Source organism: Homo sapiens, chromosome 7, assembly GCF_000001405.40.
Source record: "Homo sapiens chromosome 7, GRCh38.p14 Primary Assembly".
Taxonomy (NCBI): Eukaryota; Metazoa; Chordata; class Mammalia; order Primates; family Hominidae; genus Homo; species Homo sapiens.
In genome coordinates this window covers 105,128,174-105,147,376 of record NC_000007.14, presented here as the reverse complement: position 1 = coordinate 105,147,376, position 19,203 = coordinate 105,128,174, and the positions used below count along the sequence as shown (strand labels likewise).

At 44.0% G+C, this 19,203-nt stretch overlaps 1 protein-coding gene and 1 long non-coding RNA gene across 35 annotated transcripts in view, besides 2 other annotated features; one reads left to right on the top strand and one right to left on the bottom strand.

Moving 5' to 3' along the window:
• Nucleotides 1-19,203, top strand: part of SRPK2 (SRSF protein kinase 2) — a 284,618-nt gene that overhangs the window by 251,981 nt on the left and 13,434 nt on the right. For 33 of the 34 annotated variants that reach the window (XR_007060151.1, XR_007060150.1, XR_007060147.1 and 30 more), the window contains 6 exons: nt 719-884; nt 2,069-2,094; nt 4,047-4,293; nt 4,887-5,369; nt 14,273-14,373; nt 14,479-14,586. Coding sequence is in view for 24 of the 34 variants with exons in the window: in XM_011516536.4 (XP_011514838.1) it covers nt 719-884; nt 2,069-2,094; nt 4,047-4,293; nt 4,887-5,369; nt 14,273-14,373; nt 14,479-14,586 (1,131 nt within the window). In the remaining 10 variants the exon portion in view is untranslated. The remainder of the gene's footprint in view (nt 1-718; nt 885-2,068; nt 2,095-4,046; nt 4,294-4,886; nt 5,370-14,272; nt 14,374-14,478; nt 14,587-19,203) is intronic. The other variant, NM_001350745.2, reaches the window with a different exon arrangement.
• Nucleotides 5,340-5,516: a silencer, noted in NCBI's record as "fragment chr7:104782308-104782484 (GRCh37/hg19 assembly coordinates)". NCBI's record gives its function as "represses an EF-1alpha promoter that drives an FKBP-Casp9 reporter gene in an ReSE screen in HepG2 liver carcinoma cells {active_cell/tissue: HepG2}" and the evidence as "EXISTENCE:reporter gene assay evidence [ECO:0000049][PMID:32094911]".
• Nucleotides 13,204-18,591, bottom strand: LOC124901717 (uncharacterized). Its single transcript, XR_007060465.1, has 2 exons — nt 18,485-18,591; nt 13,204-15,610 (listed from the first exon to the last, which is right to left on the bottom strand). It is a non-coding gene; the product is annotated as an uncharacterized LOC124901717 (long non-coding RNA).
• Nucleotides 15,737-15,846: a silencer, noted in NCBI's record as "silent region_18515". NCBI's record gives its function as "represses an Ori minimal core promoter by ATAC-STARR-seq in GM12878 lymphoblastoid cells {active_cell/tissue: GM12878}" and the evidence as "EXISTENCE:reporter gene assay evidence [ECO:0000049][PMID:35858748]".

Sequence of the window (19,203 nt, the reverse complement as noted above, 5' to 3'; positions counted from 1 at the left end):
CACTGCACTCCAGCCTGGGTGACAGAGCGAGACTCTGTCTCAAAAAATAAATACATAAAAAATTTAAAAAATAAATAGTAATGATAGTCGCACATCTAAAATCCATTGAATTGTATACCTAAAGGGGTCAATTGTATGATACATGAATTACTAGCCTACTGTTGATCAGAATCCTTAATGATCACATGACCAATTAACATGTATTTTGTATGTGTGTTATATAGCATATTTTTACAACAAAGTAAGCTAGAGAAAAGAATGTTAAGACAATCATAAAGAAGAGAAAATATACTTACTATTCATTAAGTGGATAGATCATATGAAGTAGATGATCATAAAGGTCTTCATCCTCATTATCTTCGCGTTGAGTAGGCTGAGGGGTTGGTCTTGCTGTCTCAGGAGTGGCAGAGGTGGAAGACAATCTGTGTATAAGGGAACCCATGCAGTTCAAACCTGTGTTGTTCAAGGTTCAACTGTATGTAGATGCATTTGCTTCCACGAGCATAAATAATCTCTGAAATTATACACACTGGTTGCTTATGGAAAGGAGAGCTGGATTCCAATGTGGGTAGGCATGGGAGGGAGATTTTTACTAAATATCCTTTTGTGTTTATCAAACTTTGTACCCTGGCATTGTATTACATGTTTTTCAAATAAATAAAAGTTATATAATGAGATATTAATAGCTTATCTTCTCTCTTGATTTTACTATATCCAGGTCCTTCAAGGGTTAGATTACTTACACAGTAAGTGCAAGATCATTCATACTGACATAAAGCCGGAAAATATCTTGATGTGTGTGGATGATGCATATGTGAGAAGAATGGCAGCTGAGGCCACTGAGTGGCAGAAAGCAGGTGCTCCTCCTCCTTCAGGGTCTGCAGGTGAGGGAGCTGAGCCAGCTTCATTTCAGTGTGGGGGCATTGGGAGCTTGCAAAGTTGCAGTTGTTGAAGGTATCTGAATCAAACGTTACACATAAGGAAGATTTTGGAAAAGTTTAATTGCTGGAAATAACTGCACCCTTGAAATGGAAAATGCCCCAGCTACATTATATTTTAATATTGGAAGTATTTACTTTTGTCCCCCTTTAAAAGGCCATTTAAATTTGTAGTTGCTGCTTCATCTATATTTGAACAGTTTTTTCTGTTGCCAGCTTCTCTGCAGAGGAGAACATAGTAACAGCTTTCCTGTAGCTGACCTTTAGTCATCAGAATATTTTTCTGGCTTCAATTTTGTGTACATAAATTCTTGTTGTCCATTTAGCATAGCTATGTCAACCTGAGTTGTATCAACAGATTTGGAGTTAGTTAGAAAAGGCCTGATGGTGGGGGAAGAAGATCAAGTGACCTGAGTATTGGGATATCTTTATTTCTGGGGCGGGGTCGGGGAGGTGGTGCAGTGAAGTGTGGACTGTGCTTCTCACTCTTCGACACCATGATCTGTGCCTTTGTGTGTTGTCAGGCAAGCATGGATACTAAAGGGCTGAGGCTCCTGGGACTGCCTGGGGCTCTCTTCACATCTCCTTTACTGCCATCAGGGTGTTGTTTAGATCATGGACCCAGCCTGTTAAGCTTTTGACCCTGGTGTAGGGGTTTAATCATGTGATTCCTAGACTATTTGCTGCATACCAACTGCAGTATTTGATTTAAATTATAGAAAGCTTGCAAAATAGATTCCAAATATCGATGTACATCTACATTGTTCATTTCATTATATTTTAAACAAATTTGGTTTAATGACTGTGATATGTATTCTTTTCCATTTTCTTAAGTGATCTGTTGGTGCTTGAGCTTGACTGTGTTTGAGATGTATTAGTATTTCATTTTAGATAAATAAGAGAAATGGCTCAGTATGAGTAACTTCTGCTGTGACTTCAGGAGTCACTCATTTGTTTCAGTGGCATAAACTTACTCTAGATCCTTGTGATTAAGAAGCTCTGATTAATAGTTTTTGAAGTTGGATAGCCATTAAAAGACAATAATTATTTCACTTTGCAATTCGAATGACCTACATGAAGGCATGTGTCTGTTTTCTGCTAAATACAGATTTTGTTTGATTTTATTTTAGTGAGTACGGCTCCACAGCAGAAACCTGTAAGTACTTACGCATATTACTTTATATGCACCATGTTAAAAGAGACCGTTTATTATTGAGTTGTTCAAATTATAAAAAAGTTGTGTATTTAAAGGGTAGACACATTTATAAAAGCTGTGTATCCTCAAATAGGTAAGACTTAATGTCTTGTTAATTTTTTTTTTTTTTTTTTTTGAAAACTGAGTTTCACTCTGTTGCTCAGGCTGGAGTGCAAGTGGTGCGATCTCGGCTCACTGCAACCTCCCCCTCCCTGGTTCAAACGATTCTTGTGCCTCAGCCTCCCGAGTAGCTGGGATTACAGGCACCTGCCACCGCACCCAACTAATTTTTGTATTTTTAGTAGAGAGGGGTTTCACCATGTTGGCCAGACTGGTCTCGAACTCTTAACCTCAAGTTATCTGCCTGCCTCGGCCTCCCAAATTTCTGGGATTACAGGTTTGAACCACCACGCCCAGCCTGTCTTGTTAAGTTTTAATGATCTGTGCAGAGTTGGGATAGTTAGAGCCTTTCAAAAATTGTCTTCTTTATGCATTTTCTGGACTATGGTGGCCAAGTTTAGTGAAATGTGAGGTGATGGAGTTGAAGTATTTTTATTTCAAAACCACTTTACATTATTTCTGATTGGCTGCTAAGTTACCTGTTTTTCTGAAGCTGTTGTTCTAATTTTTTCCATGCGGATGTTAAATAAGAAAGAGACTGATCTATTTTGTGGTCCTGTCAAAACACTATGTCCTTATTAGATACTGGGTGTGGTGACTCACGCCTGTAATCCCTGCACTTTGGGAGGCTGAGGCCACTAGATCACTTGAAGTCAGGAATTCAAGACCAGCCTGGCCAACATGGTGAAATCCTGTCTCTACCAAAAATGCAAAAACTAGCTGAGTGTGCTGGTGGACGTCTGTAATCCCGGCTACTCAGGAGGCTAAGGCAGTAGAATCACTTGAGCCCAGGAGGTAACGGTTGCAGTGAGCTGAGATCACGCCACTGCACTCCAGCCTGGGCGACAGAGTGAGACTCCATCTCAAAAAAAAAAAAAAAAATTAGCCGGGTGTGATGGTGTGCACCTGTAGTCCTAGCTACATGGGAGGCTGAGGCATGAGAATCACTTGAACTCAAGAAGTGGAGGTTGCAGTCAGCTGAGATCACGCCACTGCACTCCAGCCTGGGCAACAGAGACTCTGTCTCAAAGAAAACAACAACAACAACAACAAAACACTATTTTTACTGAGACAGCTCTTGATTTGGAATGTAAGTTCTGGAACAAGAGGGAGCTTTAATAATTAAGCTTCCTGGCCTGCTGAGAAGCTCAAGTTGTTTCCCATAGTTCTTCCCTGGCTTGAGCTGCTTGAATTTACTGATTGATTGAAAGGTTGGAGGCTGTCATTGCCAGTGCTTTGCAAGTCAGGTAACCATGACGGGAGGCAGACAAAAGCTGTAGCTTTTTCTTTTTTCCCTTTGCAGCATAGGCTTATCTCTTACAGTTCATGTTGTCTTGGCTGCTAAGAGCTTCATATGTGAGACCCAAACACACAGTGACATACACCTGCTCGGGCACCTGTTTCATTTTTGGCATTGAGGAGCTGGGATGTTGTTACTTTGTATATAGACAGCAGCAAATAAAACTTGCAAGAGGAGCTTCTCCTTTAAGGCCAAGAGAATTTCGAACTTCAGTTCTCTTAGAGTTTGAATGGTGAAGACTTACTGGATTTAAGCTATATCCCTCTGAGGGCAGGACCTGGTAGTAGACCTAGTACGTGATATCAGTCAGCACTGCTTTCCCTTTGATTTTATCGTAAGCCTTACCACAAAGTGGATCTGTCTGGGTTTGGGATTTTAATAGAATATGGCATGAGAAAGCAGAGTTTATTGCTATTTGCCATGCTGCTAGTCGTTATACTATCGTGGTGCTTTAAAAAGAAGAATACTGACCTGTGGTCTTTCCTTAACATAGATAGGAAAAATATCTAAAAACAAAAAGAAAAAACTGAAAAAGAAACAGAAGAGGCAGGCTGAGTTATTGGAGAAGCGCCTGCAGGAGATAGAAGAATTGGAGCGAGAAGCTGAAAGGAAAATAATAGAAGAAAACATCACCTCAGCTGCACCTTCCAATGACCAGGATGGCGAATACTGCCCAGAGGTGAAACTAAAAACAACAGGATTAGAGGAGGCGGCTGAGGCAGAGACTGCAAAGGACAATGGTCAGTGGGGCCTGGAACCTGGGCTGCATGGGGTTCTCAGAGCTCCATTAGTAGGGTTCTGCCAGGTCAACATGGGGGCTGATTTGTGCTGCTGCTGCAGATGACAAGGATGATTCTCTCCAACTCCCTATTGGGAAATATGGGAAATAGCCTCGTACTTCATTTGTGAACTGTATGCCAGAAATATGTTAACATTTCAAAATAGTTTTTAAAAATGTAAAATAATTGAGAAATTCCATGTTTCTATCATGCTAATGATGGTGCTTTATTTTGTCATTAACTTTTTACCTAACTGTAATGCACCACAAGTCTGTTTCTGAAGATTATAGAGGGTAGAAATGGAAGTGCAACTTTATTTAGAAAGAGTTATTTTCCCTTAAAGCTAACTTTTTCTTATAAGAGCAGGCCAATTACTAAATGAATGAAAAATGAGATTTAGAAAACCTGAAGGTTTTACCCCAAAAGCCAAGAGGTGTTTACCAGGTGGTACATAAGCATATTCAAAATGTATTTTATTGATGGAGATAAGTACTTAATGAGGCTGTATTAAGGAGAGTAACAAGTTCTAATTCTTGACCCATCAAATTCTTAAGGTGAAGCTGAGGACCAGGAAGAGAAAGAAGATGCTGAGAAAGAAAACATTGAAAAAGATGAAGATGATGTAGATCAGGAACTTGCGAACATAGACCCTACGTGGATAGAATCACCTAAAACCAATGGCCATATTGAGAATGGCCCATTCTCACTGGAGCAGCAACTGGACGATGAAGATGATGATGAAGAAGACTGCCCAAATCCTGAGGAATATAATCTTGATGAGCCAAATGCAGAAAGTGATTACACATATAGCAGCTCCTATGAACAATTCAATGGTGAATTGCCAAATGGACGACATAAAATTCCCGAGTCACAGTTCCCAGAGTTTTCCACCTCGTTGTTCTCTGGATCCTTAGAACCTGTGGCCTGCGGCTCTGTGCTTTCTGAGGGATCACCACTTACTGAGCAAGAGGAGAGCAGTCCATCCCATGACAGAAGCAGAACGGTTTCAGCCTCCAGTACTGGGGATTTGCCAAAAGGTAAGTGTTTCTTCCCATCAACTGTCTGCCATCGCTGACTCCAGGGACGTGCCTTTAACAAATGCTGTGAAGGAATTGGCTGGAAGTGGCCAAGCCCTGTGTGTGTGTACTGATCAGTTTTATTACTTTTATACTCCTGAAGAAGTAATGTGATTTAAATAAATTTTCTATGCCATTAGGCTATTTCTTGCTCTCTGCATACCAAATCTTATTTCTGACCAGTTTTCATTTTTAATATATTTAGTCAGCAGCATCATTTGCAAAAACCTTCCAGTTTTAGCAACTTACACCTTTCTAGAATGTGTAGTTTAGTTTAAAATTCGTATCTTCTTCCATCTAATGTCATTATATTTAGTTTAGTTTAGTTTTGTTTTGTTTCTATTCAAGAAAATTATGCCTCCTCTTTGACTCTATTGAGAAAGAAGTGTCATATTGTCTTTTGATAGTTGTTCCTGATTATAGGACCCTACTATTGGTAACTGGCCCAGGATTGTAATTTTCAAGGAATTGGCATGGATTTAAATGTGATGACAGATTATAGATTGGCTCTTGTGTTCTTGTCTACCTAAGAAGGCTTGACTTATTCAAAGCCTTATTTTGGGAGTGAATGCCAAGTGACTCTAGTAAGTGAAAACTGGGTAACACAGCTGGTTTCCATACTGGCTTATGGGGGAAAAGCTCTGAAACCTCCCTCTGCTCCCTCTACTGACAAGACTGTTTAACACACAGCGAGTAAAATTGATGAGCCAGCCCTGCAAACAGCCCGACATTCTGCAGCCCCTTTGGTTCCAGCAGTCTGGAATTGCACGCCGAGTAAGCTGGCTTTGTTACGCACTGGCTATGATGAATCCTCCTAAGGATTTGCTTTCTTTACTTGGCTGGACGTGGTCAGCTCCTGTTCCCCTTTCCAGGGAGTGTTTGAAGGTGCTTACATAGAATGTAGGTTAATTTCTGGGAAAGGGCAGTAGTGAGAGGTACCTTATCCAGACTTATTGTTGCTGTTGCAGTTCAATTTTTCTCTTACTTGAAGTTTCTTTTTTTTTTTATGAGATTGAGTCTTGCTCTGTCACCCAGGCTGTAGTGCAGTGGCGCGATCTCGGCTCACTGCAACCTCTGCCTCCCGGGTTCAAGCGATTCTCCCGCCCCAGCCTCCTGAGTAGCTGGGATTATAGGCGCGTGCCACCATGCCCGGCTAATTTTTGTATTTTTAGTAGAGACAGGGTTTCACCATGTTGGTCAGGCTGGTCTCAAATTCCTGACCTCGTGATCCACCCGCCTCAGCTTCCCAAAGTGCTGGGATTACAGGCGTGAGCCACCGCGCCCGGCTGAAGTTTCATATAGAAAGTAATTTACAAAGTACCTTTTTAATTATTTCTATTTTATTCATTCATTTATTTATTTATTTTTTGAGACAGTCTCACTCTAGTTGCCCAGGCTGGAGTGCAGTGGTGCAATCTCAGCTCACTGCAACCTCCGCCTCCTGAACTCAAGCAATTCTCCTGCCTCAGTCTCCCGAGCAGCTGGGATTACAGGCGCCCGTCACCATGCCCGGCTAATTTTTATATTTTTAGTATAGACAGAGCTTCACCATGTTGGCCAGGCTGGTCTCCAGTGCCTGACCTCAGGTGATCTGCCCTCCCCAGCCTCCCAAAGTGCTGGGATTACGAGCCTGAGCCACCATGACCAGCTCAAAGTACCTTTTTTATTCATACTTATTTTGCAAGTATTAGCTTGGGCTGCAGTGGCTTCAAGTACAGTCAGCCCTCCATATCCATGGGTTTTACATCTTTGGATTTCCCATCCATGTGTTCAGCTAACTTCAGGTGGGAAATAGTTGGAGGGGAAAAAAAACTGTGTCTTTATTGAACATGTACAGATTTTTCCCCCCTTGTCATTACTCCCTAAACAATACAGTATAACAACTATTTACATACCATTTACATTGTAGCAGGTATTATAAATAACTAGAGATCAACTAAAGTGTATAGGAAGATATATGTAGGTTATATGCAAACACTACACCGTTTTATATCAGAGACTTGAGCATCTGTGGATTTTGGTATCCTCAGGATGTCCTGGAACCAGTTCCCCTGCAGACACCGAGAGGCACCTGCATATCAGATTAAACCCCAGCTCAAAACTTAATAACTGTGGAACTTTGGTTTCTTACCCTGTCTGAGCCTTGGTTCATTCCTCTATCAAAAGAAAGAAATGGCTACCTCTAAGGTTGTTAGTAGCACTGAATTAAATAAAACAGGTCAATGGCAAAGGTACATAAATAACATATAATAATAATATATTGAAAAATTTCCCATTGAATGTAAGTTGCCTTGGTCATCACAATCCATGTAAAGGAGCAGAATTGCTGCTTGTTACCACATGGTCATCATTGGAGGCCCAGGCAAGTCATAAGACTTATCCTATTGTTTACATGACAGCTCCATCTCTGTGTCACAGGAAACTTCAAACCTTACATGTCCAAAACCAGAATACAACTTTCCCTGCCAACCTGCTACACATACTGTATTTCCTACACTTGTTGCCACCATTTCTTGTTGCTCCAGTGAGAAACTTGATCATCAGGATGTCTTCTTTTTTTCTCTCATGTCCAGTAAATCATCTCATTTTGCCAGTCATACCTCCTAAGTAGGGGTCCCCCTTGCCTTGTCCCTAAAGTGGGCAGTGTCATTGCTTGCCTCTCCTATTATGGAGGTTCCTTACTGGTGTCTTGGCTTTGTGTTCTCTCCAGCTTTTCTCCCCACCTGCCTTTCAGCATGCCCTTCCATGGTGCTGCTAGAGTGTCTTTGCAGTATGCTCACCCGATCAGTGTATTCCCCTGCTCACAGTTTCCACAGCTCCCCATCATCTACAGCAGTGGTCTCCACAGTGGAGAGTGTACATCCCTGCATAACCAGCACCATCCAGGAAGGTGCAGGAAGGAATTATTAGAGCATCTGTGTATTTTTTTATTTTGAAAGAATAGTACAATAAACAACTGTATATCCTCCACATAGATTGAGCAATTCACATTTTGCCGCATTGCATATACTTTGTGTACACAGACACTGCATGCTACACATATTAGGATACTTCACTCCTAAATACTTAAGCATTCATCTTCTGAGAGATGAATTAGAACGTCCTCCATTGTAACAATAATACTATTACAACGTGTAAGAATAGCACTAATTTTATATTATTATTATTTTGAGACAGGATCTTGCTCTATCGCCCAGGCTGGAGTGCAGTGGCGTGATCTCGGTTCACTGCAACCTCTGCTTTCTGGCTCAAGTGATCCTCCCACCTCAGCCCCCAAGTAGCTGGGACTACAGTTGGCACTACCATGTCTGGTCAACTTTTATATTTTTGGTAGAGAAAGTAGGGTTTTACCATGTTGCCCATGCCAGTCCTGAACTCATGGGCTCGAGTGATCTGCCTACCTTGGCTTCCCAAAATGCTGGGATTAAAGGCGTGAGCCATCACACCTGGCCTAATATCATCTATTATTTATTCCATATTCAAATTTCCTCAATAATTCTAAAATTTTCTTTTTAAATTTTCCTGATCTAGGATATGATCCAACACAGTAGCCTGCCTCCTGGGTGAGGGCTTCCTGTATCCCCAGCAGGCTTACTTCTCTTTCCCCTCTGCTCCTGCTGGCCATGCTTGTCTTAGTTGTATGGGCAGTGCTCATTGTCACTGTCTGTCTTCTCATTAGAATGTGAACTCTTGGAGAGTGCAGTGTGTTTTTATCTTTGCATCCTCAGCATCTGATTCAGTGCTAAGATAAATATTTATTGAATAACGAACAAACAAATGAGTGATACCTTTTTACATTCTTCTTCTCTTTCCTTTCTCCCGCTTTTTTCCATTTATAGTCACAATTTTACTGTGTCCAACACACATACCATCCCCAATACCTGTTGCATCAGGTAGAAACTGGAGGTCTTGAAGAGCATTTTAATATTGGCAAATTCTAGGGATGTACCAGGGACAGGATCTCCTTTGTTTGGAAGCACTCAGTTTTCGCCCGCAGCTTGGCCATTTGATAAGCAAGAGCAGCCTCCCCCATGGGAGGTGTGTTTTGTTTTCTGCATGGGAAGGGGTATAAGCCTAGAGTCTTGCACTTGACCACACGGTACTTCGTGAATTTGAGGCAAGAGAAACAATGAAGAGTTTGTGTAGATCCTGACTTTAGGGCAGAATGTACATGTTAGGGCATAGTAGAAGAAAGACTGGGGCCAGTTTGAGGAACTTGAAGAAACCTAAATGCCAGGCTAAAGAAGGTACACTTTTTTCCTAGAGTAATTTGGCAGCCATTGAAGGTTGAGAAGAGGATGGTCCCTCTTAGATGATCAGCTGCCAGAGCCTTAGTGTGTATCTTGGCTCAACACATCTGAAGGACAAAGGCCCTGGAACAGGGTGGTTTTGTTGGTCTTACCTGTGGGCTATTTCTGGAATCCTTTCTGTGTCACTCGATGGGGACCCACACCACTGTCAGTCCTTGCTAGGCTACTGTTAACACAGCCTCCGTGCTCCTATCACTTGAGCTTTTGCTCCCCAGTCTGTCTCTGTCTGGCAGTCCAGAGAGAACTGTTTAAGGCTTAACTTCTTCCCCCTTACCCACCCTCGCCTCACCAACATGATCTCCATTGTGTTTCCCATGTAGAGTAGTGATGCCCTGAGTTGTCCTTCACTGAAGCTGACAAACTCTCCAGTGTGTTCCCTGGCAGGTCTCTGTTGGTGCCTGCTCCAGACCCATTCTCTGTTTCCCTAATTCATTCTACACCGTTCACACTGGCTTCTTTCTAAAGTTTCTCAAAGTTGCAAGCCTGTTTCTGCCTTAGGATTTTTGTACTTCCCGTGTCCTTTGCCTCAAACTTCTCTTACTTTCATGCCTGCCTTTGTTCAGACCTCTCCTGAATGTCACCTTCTCAGAAAAGATCTCCCCTGAACAGCCTTGGCATTATCCATCTCCTTTCTCTGCTTTGTTTTTCTTCATAGCCTGTTTAGCTACCTGACAGGATGTGTGGATTCCTCGTTTATTTGCCTTATTGCCCATATTTTCAACCAGTACACGAGTTTCCTAATTTAGCTTGTGTTTTTTTCTTACAGTGTTCCCAGTACCAAGACCATGCTTAGCACACAGAAGGTACTCAGTAAATATTTGTTGCACGAATGGTTGAGGTGGCAACATTAAATCTCTTAGTTCCACTACTTCCTTGGGCCTCATAGTGAACCTCCTCCATATAGAGGGGATATTCTTGTCGTCCTTGTAAGGACCCCTTATGATGTAAAGAGTCAGTGTGTGCCTAGCTCCATGTGTTATGTGCGTGTGACAGCAGCTGTCTCATTATGCTGAGGCACTGTTGGCTACCATCTAATAGTTCCTAGGATAGCTTCTTGTGGAATGAGTGACCACAGTGTCACCCAAAGACTAGCGTATCAGAAGGTGACTTAAGGGGCCCAGTTCTTCCCGAAGTGAAAGCTTTCCACTCATTCCCCTCTTAGTGGAAGCAGAGTGCAATTGCAAGCTTTTCATTTTGGAAGGAAGACAGCTCCAGTTTGTCCTTTGTGTCACCATTATCTGTAAGAAGGAAACCGTGTGACAGGTCACTACTGTGGTGACTCAGTCAGAGGAGGTGTGACAAAAGCATTCCAGTTGGGTTTCAGTGGACTTCTTGGGAATGTAGCAGTCTGGTACCTTAGTTCAGGAACTATCATACTGAGAAAAGAAAGAAAAGCAAAATCTCTTTTACCTCCTGTTGTGTTTTTATACAATTAAGTTATTGAGATACATTACCTAGCATCATTTGGAACGCATCAGAAGCTAAGTAACTGTTTACAAACCCGAACCAGGAGGATAACAGCATGTCACCAAAGAGATTCTGTTCAGTGAACCTTAATGAGGGATATTAAGTACAAGAAACACCCCTGAATTTAGGCCAGGTGCGGTGGCTTATGCCTGTAATCCCGGCACTTTGGGAGGCCAAGGTGGGCAGATCACTTGATGTCAGGAGTTCGAGACCAGCCTGGCCAACATGGTGAAACCCCGTCTCTACTAAAAATACAAAAATTAATCGGGCATGGTTTCAGGCGCCTGTAATCCCAGCTACTCGGGAGGCTGAGGCAGGAGAATTGCTTGAATCTAGGAGGTGGAGGCTGCAGTGAGCCGAGATCGCGCCACTGCACTCCAGCCTAGGCGACAGAGTGAGACTCTGTCTCAAAAAAAAAAAAAAAAATTCCCTGCATTTAAATGTGAGGTGATGGGTCTTTGAAAGTATATTTCTTCTAGCGTGATTGAATTAAGCAGCTCCTGAGAAATGTTTTTAAAAACAACATCTCAGAGTGGTGGCAGATTACAGATCATCTCCTTCCACTTGAGTGCCCTCAGATAACAGCCAACTCGGCTACTGTTCTCATGGAGAAAAAGAAATCACATCGTTCTGTGGCTCAGGAGGACCACAATATGTCTAACCGGGCTTCGCCCTCTTCTCATTAGACCTATGATTTGAGTTGTTTGTGGGGGCGGAACTTGCTCTTGGGCCTCCCCTTCCCTCTGCTGCTGCTCTCTGGTCCCTCACTGACCAGTTGGGAGCCTCTGCCCCAGACGATGGTTCAGCTGGTCACAGCAGAGGGAAGCCCCTGCGTCTGGCCAGGCGCCCAGATGCTGTCCTGACTCTCCTGTGTTTGGGTTTTTAGTGTCTTCGGTGGGGAAGGGGTGGTCCCTTCCGATTCTTCTTTTCCTGAACACCAAGCCTCATAGAGTTTAAGTCATTTGCCAGTCTTACAACTTGTAGATATTGAAACTTAGATTTGAATCCAATTTTTCAAACCTCAAATTCCATTTTCCTTCTTGCTGATTCTTCTTGATTAAATGACATACGGGGCATTCATCTAGTCATGTCTAGTGTTGTTCATCTACCCATTGGGTCAGCATTTTTATATTTATCCTGGACCTCTGTTCTCAGCCCCAGGTGAATCAGTGTATATTCATTTTGCCTTCTTTTTTGGTCTTTGTGCTGCTTTCTTTCTGAATTTTTGCTGAGTTCTGGTGTTTCTTTTCCTGAGCTCATACCTGGCCTTTGGTGAGGCTGTGCAGAATCCTTATAAAGAAGGAAACAGGCATATGGAAGGTAGCAAGCAGGGAATATCTGTACCTGGCTGGCTCATTTGATTAACATGCTAGAGGAACAGGTCTTGAGGGTTAAGATACTGGTCAGAATTCTCTTGGCGTCCTCTGGAGCCCCCCTAGGGAGCTGTGTGGGCACCCTAGGTCCTGAGGCCCTTGCCTGTTCACTGCCTTACGGCAAGTTGCAAGGCTGGCCCTCCTTCCTCTTATGGGGCTTGCTGAAGAATCAGAGCCTCCCCAAGCACCCTGGTTTCACAGCTCGTATGTACCCCAACAGAGGTTTAGTTCATTTCAGCAGTGCCCAGCTTCAAGGAAACAAAGGGGCTCTCCTAGGTAGGTGTTTATATTAGTCTGTTCTCACATTGCTGTAAAAAATACCGGAAACCCGGTAGTTTATAAAGAAAACAGGTTTAATTGGCTCACAGTTCCACAGGCTGTACAGGAAGCATGGCTGGGGAGGCCTTAGGAAACTTTCAAATATGGTAGAAGGGGAAGCAGGCATCTTACATGGCTGGAGCAGGAGGAGGAGAGAAGGGGGACGTGCTACACACTTTTAAACAACCAGATCTCGTGAGAACTCACTCAGTATCACGAGAACAGCAACGTGGAAATCTGCCCCCATGATCCAGTCACCTCTCACCAGGCCCCTCTTCTAACACTAGGGATTACAATTCGACATGAGTTATGGGCAGGGACACAAACCCGAATCATATCAGTGTTTAATGTTCTACATTGAACAGGCTTTTCTGCTTGGTTTTTAAATACCATTTCAAAATTACTTATACAGTAAATAAAAGTCCTGGTTTTATTTCATCTTTACCAGAAATCTGATCTTGTAGGTCAGTCTGAGGTTTGGTGATGAAGATGCTGACTTTAAGGACTATTTTTCTGGGCCTCACCAGATTATTTTTGTTTGTCACTTGCCCCTTGGTTAACTCTGCTTGATACAGGCATGATCTGAACTTGTTTGAGAAGATCTGGCCCCAGAATCTCTGGGAAGCTGGCCCTATACCTGCCTTTGAGATTCCCTGGAGTCATCCTGGAATTTAGAATGACTGCTCATGTACATGACAAGTTCATGACTGACCTCAGAGGTTGCCTTTATGGCCCAGGCCATCTCAGGAGACCTCTGTCTGGGACCTTCCTTGTCTAAAACAAAACCAGAATAGTTTAGTCCCTGCCTTTAATCTGTGTTTGTTAATCAACAGTCATCTACCCCTTGAGATCTGTGTGTGCTCAGCCCAAGCAGTGGGAACTGTAGGGGATGATGTGGGTGTGAGGTGTCGGTGCCAGGGACCCTGATGTCTTGTGGCGTCCAAGGAACTGTGTGTCACTGAGAGTGATCGGCCCCCACAGCAGTGTTCTTTCTACCTTCATGTTCCTTGTAATAATGCATCAGCAAGCTCGATCTGGGCCGTGAAGGGATGGATTGACACCATGAAGAGCCGCCACAAAGCTGCAGACAGGGGGACAGCAAGGCTGGCTTGTTCTAGGGCTGACCTGGACCCGAAGAAACTGGGGATAAAAAGAGAAAGGTCAAGGCAGTGCCCTTGGCGTCCTGTGGGCAGCCCAGTTTGCTCTTTTCTGGAGTATTTTCCAGAGGTGGAGAACAAGCAATTTTAGTTCTGTCAAGTTTAATTTACAGTATTCCAGGCCTAAGTGATCATTCCACTACTCTTGAGGAAAGGAGACTGACCCTGGCAAACACTGTGCTCACACATGCAAACCACCTATCCCGATCACTAACTGTCCTGCTGTTTGCTCATGCCAGCAAAAACCCGGGCAGCTGACTTGTTGGTGAATCCCCTGGATCCGCGGAATGCAGATAAAATTAGAGTAAAAATTGCTGACCTGGGAAATGCTTGTTGGGTGGTAAGTAGAGTTTTCTTTCTAAAACCTTTGGTCTTGATTCTGTGTGCGAAGACACTTTTTGAATGTCTGTGTTGCTCCGTGGTAATGCAGCCTGTTCCCTTCCAGCATAAACACTTCACGGAAGACATCCAGACGCGTCAGTACCGCTCCATAGAGGTTTTAATAGGAGCGGGGTACAGCACCCCTGCGGACATCTGGAGCACGGCGTGTATGGTAAGGACGGCTGTGCCCTTTGCTGCCATGGGAATTGGCTCGTTCCTTTCACACTCTGGATGGGGCTGAGTCTCTCTGAGGCATGCGACCTCAGTTTTTCTGACTGTAAGGGTCATCCACCGTGGGCTGGGTGAGGGGAAGGTTGCTGCCGCAGGCATCTTAAGAAGTGGAAGGATCCTCCTCAGGCGGGCCCTGGGTGTTTGGTGTGGTTGTGGGCTTGTGAGAGAGACATGGTCTCTTCTTAAGGCCCTGCACAGCCCACAGCCCCATGAATCAGACTCAGTTGTTGTGACACAGTGACTTCACTTGTGGTCCCTGAAAATGTGCAGGGTATAGGGAGCTTTTCCCTTCACTCACACTGTGGAGGAAGATGAGGTAGCATCTCCAGGGGAAGACTGCCTAAGGCGGGCAGGTGGGAGCCCCTCCAGGTAAGCCTCTGCCTGGTCAACCAGACATGCAGGGTTCCTCACCTTTCCAGACTGGAAGGGATTTCCCCAGATGCCAATGCATAATCTCTCTTCCCTTATAAAGCAAGAGCTAGCAGATATTCTGGCTTATTCTAGGATGTCTAGCCTCTTCTGAAACAGTGGCAGCAACGCCCACTCCCTCTGACAGAGTCTGTTCCCAGAGTGGTTGAGATGACGGCTTCCACAGGGCGGCAGAAGCCTCTTCTTCTATCTGTCAGGCCTGTTTTGCTGCTGGTTTTGTGCTGCACAGTTGCATTGTCTGTAAACTCCCCTGGCCCTGCCTGGCATCGTTTGGTCATTGACCCTGAACCTGTGAGTTGGTGAACACAAAGGGCCCTGCATTTGCGAGCCAGTTCCTGGTTCTCTTCCTCTGCCCTGTTTCCTGGCCCATTCAGCAGCTTTTTCTCAGTGGTATTTACTTAGGCGTTCCGTGTTGGGAAAGGTGGGTTGCTTGCTGTTGGGTTTCATGCTTTTCCTATTCCATACTGCTTTTTATCCATATTCTTCCAATATTTAAAAGAAAAGATTGTGTGCAAGGCTTAGCATTTTTCTTCTCACTGAAAAAAGGAATGCAGAATAAATATATTAATTTTCTGTTATTCAGAGGTTAATTTAACAATTTTCTTGAATTTACTGTGTTTTACCTCCTCTAATGCTCAAGTAAAAGCATTGTTGAGCAGATAGTGCCAGCTGATAGGAGAAAAAGAGGGTGCTTTCTGTCTTTCAGCTTTGACTCAGCATGATCTGAGTCAGCACATGGCCAGATAGGTCCTGAAACACCAGGCCTTTCTATTCCCTCGTTGCTCTTAAGGATAATACCAGACAATAACGTTTAAATTATTAAAGGTATTAAAGTTCTTCCATATCAAAAACCAAGTCCCTGCCTTAGCTAGGTATAGAAAAGAACGGTTAAAAGAACCGGTGGCCAATGATGGTCACTTTGAATTTAGAGAGTGCTGTGTGGAGAGGCATTTGACCCTCTCTGTGTGACCCCAGCAGGCAGACTGAGACGTGGGAGTTAGTGTAACGGGAGCTGCGGAGACACTGAGTGGGAGTCGGGGAGCAGGGGCCATTTCAGGATGTGGGGAGGTTAGACCACAATGGCCACTAGCAGCAGGGCTGCCCCGAATTAGGCGCTAAGTACTCTTTGAACTCTGAAATGCTGTGCTTCTAATTTGGGGTATTAAGTTTGGTGATATAACCAGAAAAATAGGACGCAGTCACGGATGTAGTGGGTTAATGGAGCTTTCAGCACAATTTTATACCAGGTTATCTGACCTGCCTTCCATTAGATGAACGTTTGTCCCTCCATACAATTTCCCTGTCCTGCTTACTTCTTGAAATGCTATTGCTGTGAACAGTGGCATAAATATCAATAACAGATTCCCAAGGAAAAGCCTTTCTGTCTTCTCACCTGCCCCCTTCCCAAGAATTAAGCATAAGCTCCCTCAGTGCTGTCAGGACGGCTTATGAGGTTTGCTTTTTCAGTTGGTTGTCATAAGGGAGGTTTTTTTTTTTTTGGAAAGGGGCAGGCCCTCATTCACTGCTTGCCCCACCCCCCAAAAGTCATGGCTTTAGAGGTTTCTTTTGTTCCTCCTAGAGAACCTAGGAGCAATGAGGCAGTTTTTCTTACCTCATCGTTCTGTTGTAGTGTAAAAATAGGACATTTAATATATTAAATTTGACCTCATAATACCAAGCTGTCATAAGGCCACAGATGGTTCTTGGTGGTAAAGCCTATATATAGTCTTTGAGGGTTTTGTTTGTTTGTTTGGAGACAAGGTCTTGCTCTGTTCCCCAAGCTGAAGTGCAGTGGCAGGACTATAGTTCACTGCAGACTCCACTTCCCAAGCTCAAGTGATCCTCCCACCTCAGCCTCTGGTGTAGCTGGGACTACAGGCACATGCCACCACGCCTGGCTAATTTTTGTATTTTTTGTAGAGATGGAGTTTGTCACGTTGTCTAGGCTGGTCTTGATCTCCTGAGCTCAAGTGATCCACCCGCCCTGGTCTCCCATAGTGCTGGGATTACAGGGATGTGACACTGTGCCCGGCTGTCTTTGAGATTTATAAATAGCATCAAATCTCACAGAGACTCTGTTGGGAATGAGAGCTGACGGGTGGTAGCCATTGGCTATTGTCAGGGAGGACAGCTTTAGGCTCTGCAGCTGGAGAAGCACAACAGAATGAGGGACCACAGCAAGGGTATGTTGGGTTTGGATCTGTTTTACTTTTCTTGAGTTTTACTTTTTTTTTGAGCTTTACACCTTCCAGTGTAAGTACATATAATCTGAAACTTCTTTGTGGCTGAAGCATTGGTTTCTCTGCATTTATGTATTAGAGTCTCTGATAGGACTTTTTATGAACTCCATGGTGAGTCCTGGTCAGTGCCATAGAAACAAGAAAAGCCATTCCAACAAACTTCACCAGACTTCTTCGGCACTGGTCACATTACAGAACAAATACGTGATCTTATTTGTTCAGAATCGGGATACTTCAGCATAGGAGAATGTTTTAGGAGAGAGGTAGTTGGTCTCCCAAGAATCTGGAAACAAGTAGGTCCAGGGAAGAGCCCTTTGAGGGGATTGAGCCAAGTAGAGAAGAATCCGGAGTTCCCAGGTATTAAAAATAATAATAAAGATTATACTTAGGCCCAGCGAGGTGATGCACACCTGTAATCCCAGCACTTTGGGAGGCCAAGGCAGGCAGATCACTTGAGGCCAGGAGTTTGAGACCAGCCTGGCCAACATGGCAAAACCCCATCTCTACTGAAAATACAAAAATTAGCTGGGCATGGTGGCACGTGCCTATAGTCCTAGCTACTCAGGTGGCTGAGGCAGGAGAATCGCTTGAACCCAGGAGGCAGAGGTTGTAGTGAGCCAAAATTGTGCCGCTGCACTCAGCCTGGGCAATAGAAGGTTATACTGGGAGTAACTGAGTTGAAGGCAGAGTTTTTTTCATTGTAATGTGCATTTGCCCTGTTGTACATGTTGTATTGTTAAGAGAATCTTGCCACTCTCCAAAGAATCAAAAATGGGTAGCATTACAGCCTTCATCTTCCTTGTTCCTTTAAAAAAAAAGAAAATTATTTGGCCGGGCTTGGTGGCTCACGCCTGTAATCCCAGCACTTTGGGAGGCCGAGGCAGGCGGGTCACGAGGTCAGGCTAACATGGTGAAATCCCGTCTCTACAAAAAATTAGCCGGGCGTGGTGGCGGGCGCCTGTAGTCCCAGCTACTCAGGAGGCTGAGGCAAGGAGAATGGTGTGAGCTTGCAGTGAGCTGAGATTGATTGTGCCACTGCACTCCAGCCTGGGTGACAGAGCGAGACTCCGTCTCAAAAAAAAATTATTTCATTGATTGGCTTCTATACATGTTTTCTTGGGAATATGTGGGTGCTAATCAAAATGATGATTTTTTTCAAAGAATACATACCTGACATATTTTGGCAGTAAGAAATATGTACAAAGCTGGGTGCAGTGTAGTGCGCCTGTAGTCCCAGCTTCTCTGGAGGCTGAGAGAGGATCACTGGAGCCCAAGAGGTTGAGTCCAGCCTGGACAACATAGCGAGGTCCCTTCTCTAAAAAATATGAAAGAAAAAGAAATATATGCAACCAGATTGAAGTCATTTTGAAAATTAATTAAAAGAGTTAGTTAGCATAGGGCTCAAGGCAGGGGTTGAAAAGCAGCTTGGAACTTGATCCAGGCTTTTCAAGTCCTCGTTGTCCCATTAGAGTTTTCAGATTTTTCTCTTAGCTTGTAAGATACTGAATTGATTGTTTCCCAGGCTAGAAGGACTCTCCTGGCCATTGAGTGTGTAATCTAGTTGTTCCACTTGGATTTGGGGCCAGTTATGAGGTTTTCCTGCCCTCATCTGGGATTGGCCCAACTGTCTTCTTTGTTTATTGGGTGGAAAGGAGAGGCCCTACATAAGGGCTTTCCTGGGTTTTCTGCTGGTGCCTTCGTGCATCCACAGTGCTGGGACCACCAGCTCACCATGCTGAGATGTGACATGTCCGTGTCTTGCTCAGACCTATGCCAGGTTCAGGGCAGGGATCCTGAGTTCATAAATTAATGCTTATCGCTCGGTCAGCTGGAAGCCATCTTGTCACCATCCTTCCTTCCTTCAAGTGATTGACAGGCAGTCTTTTTTT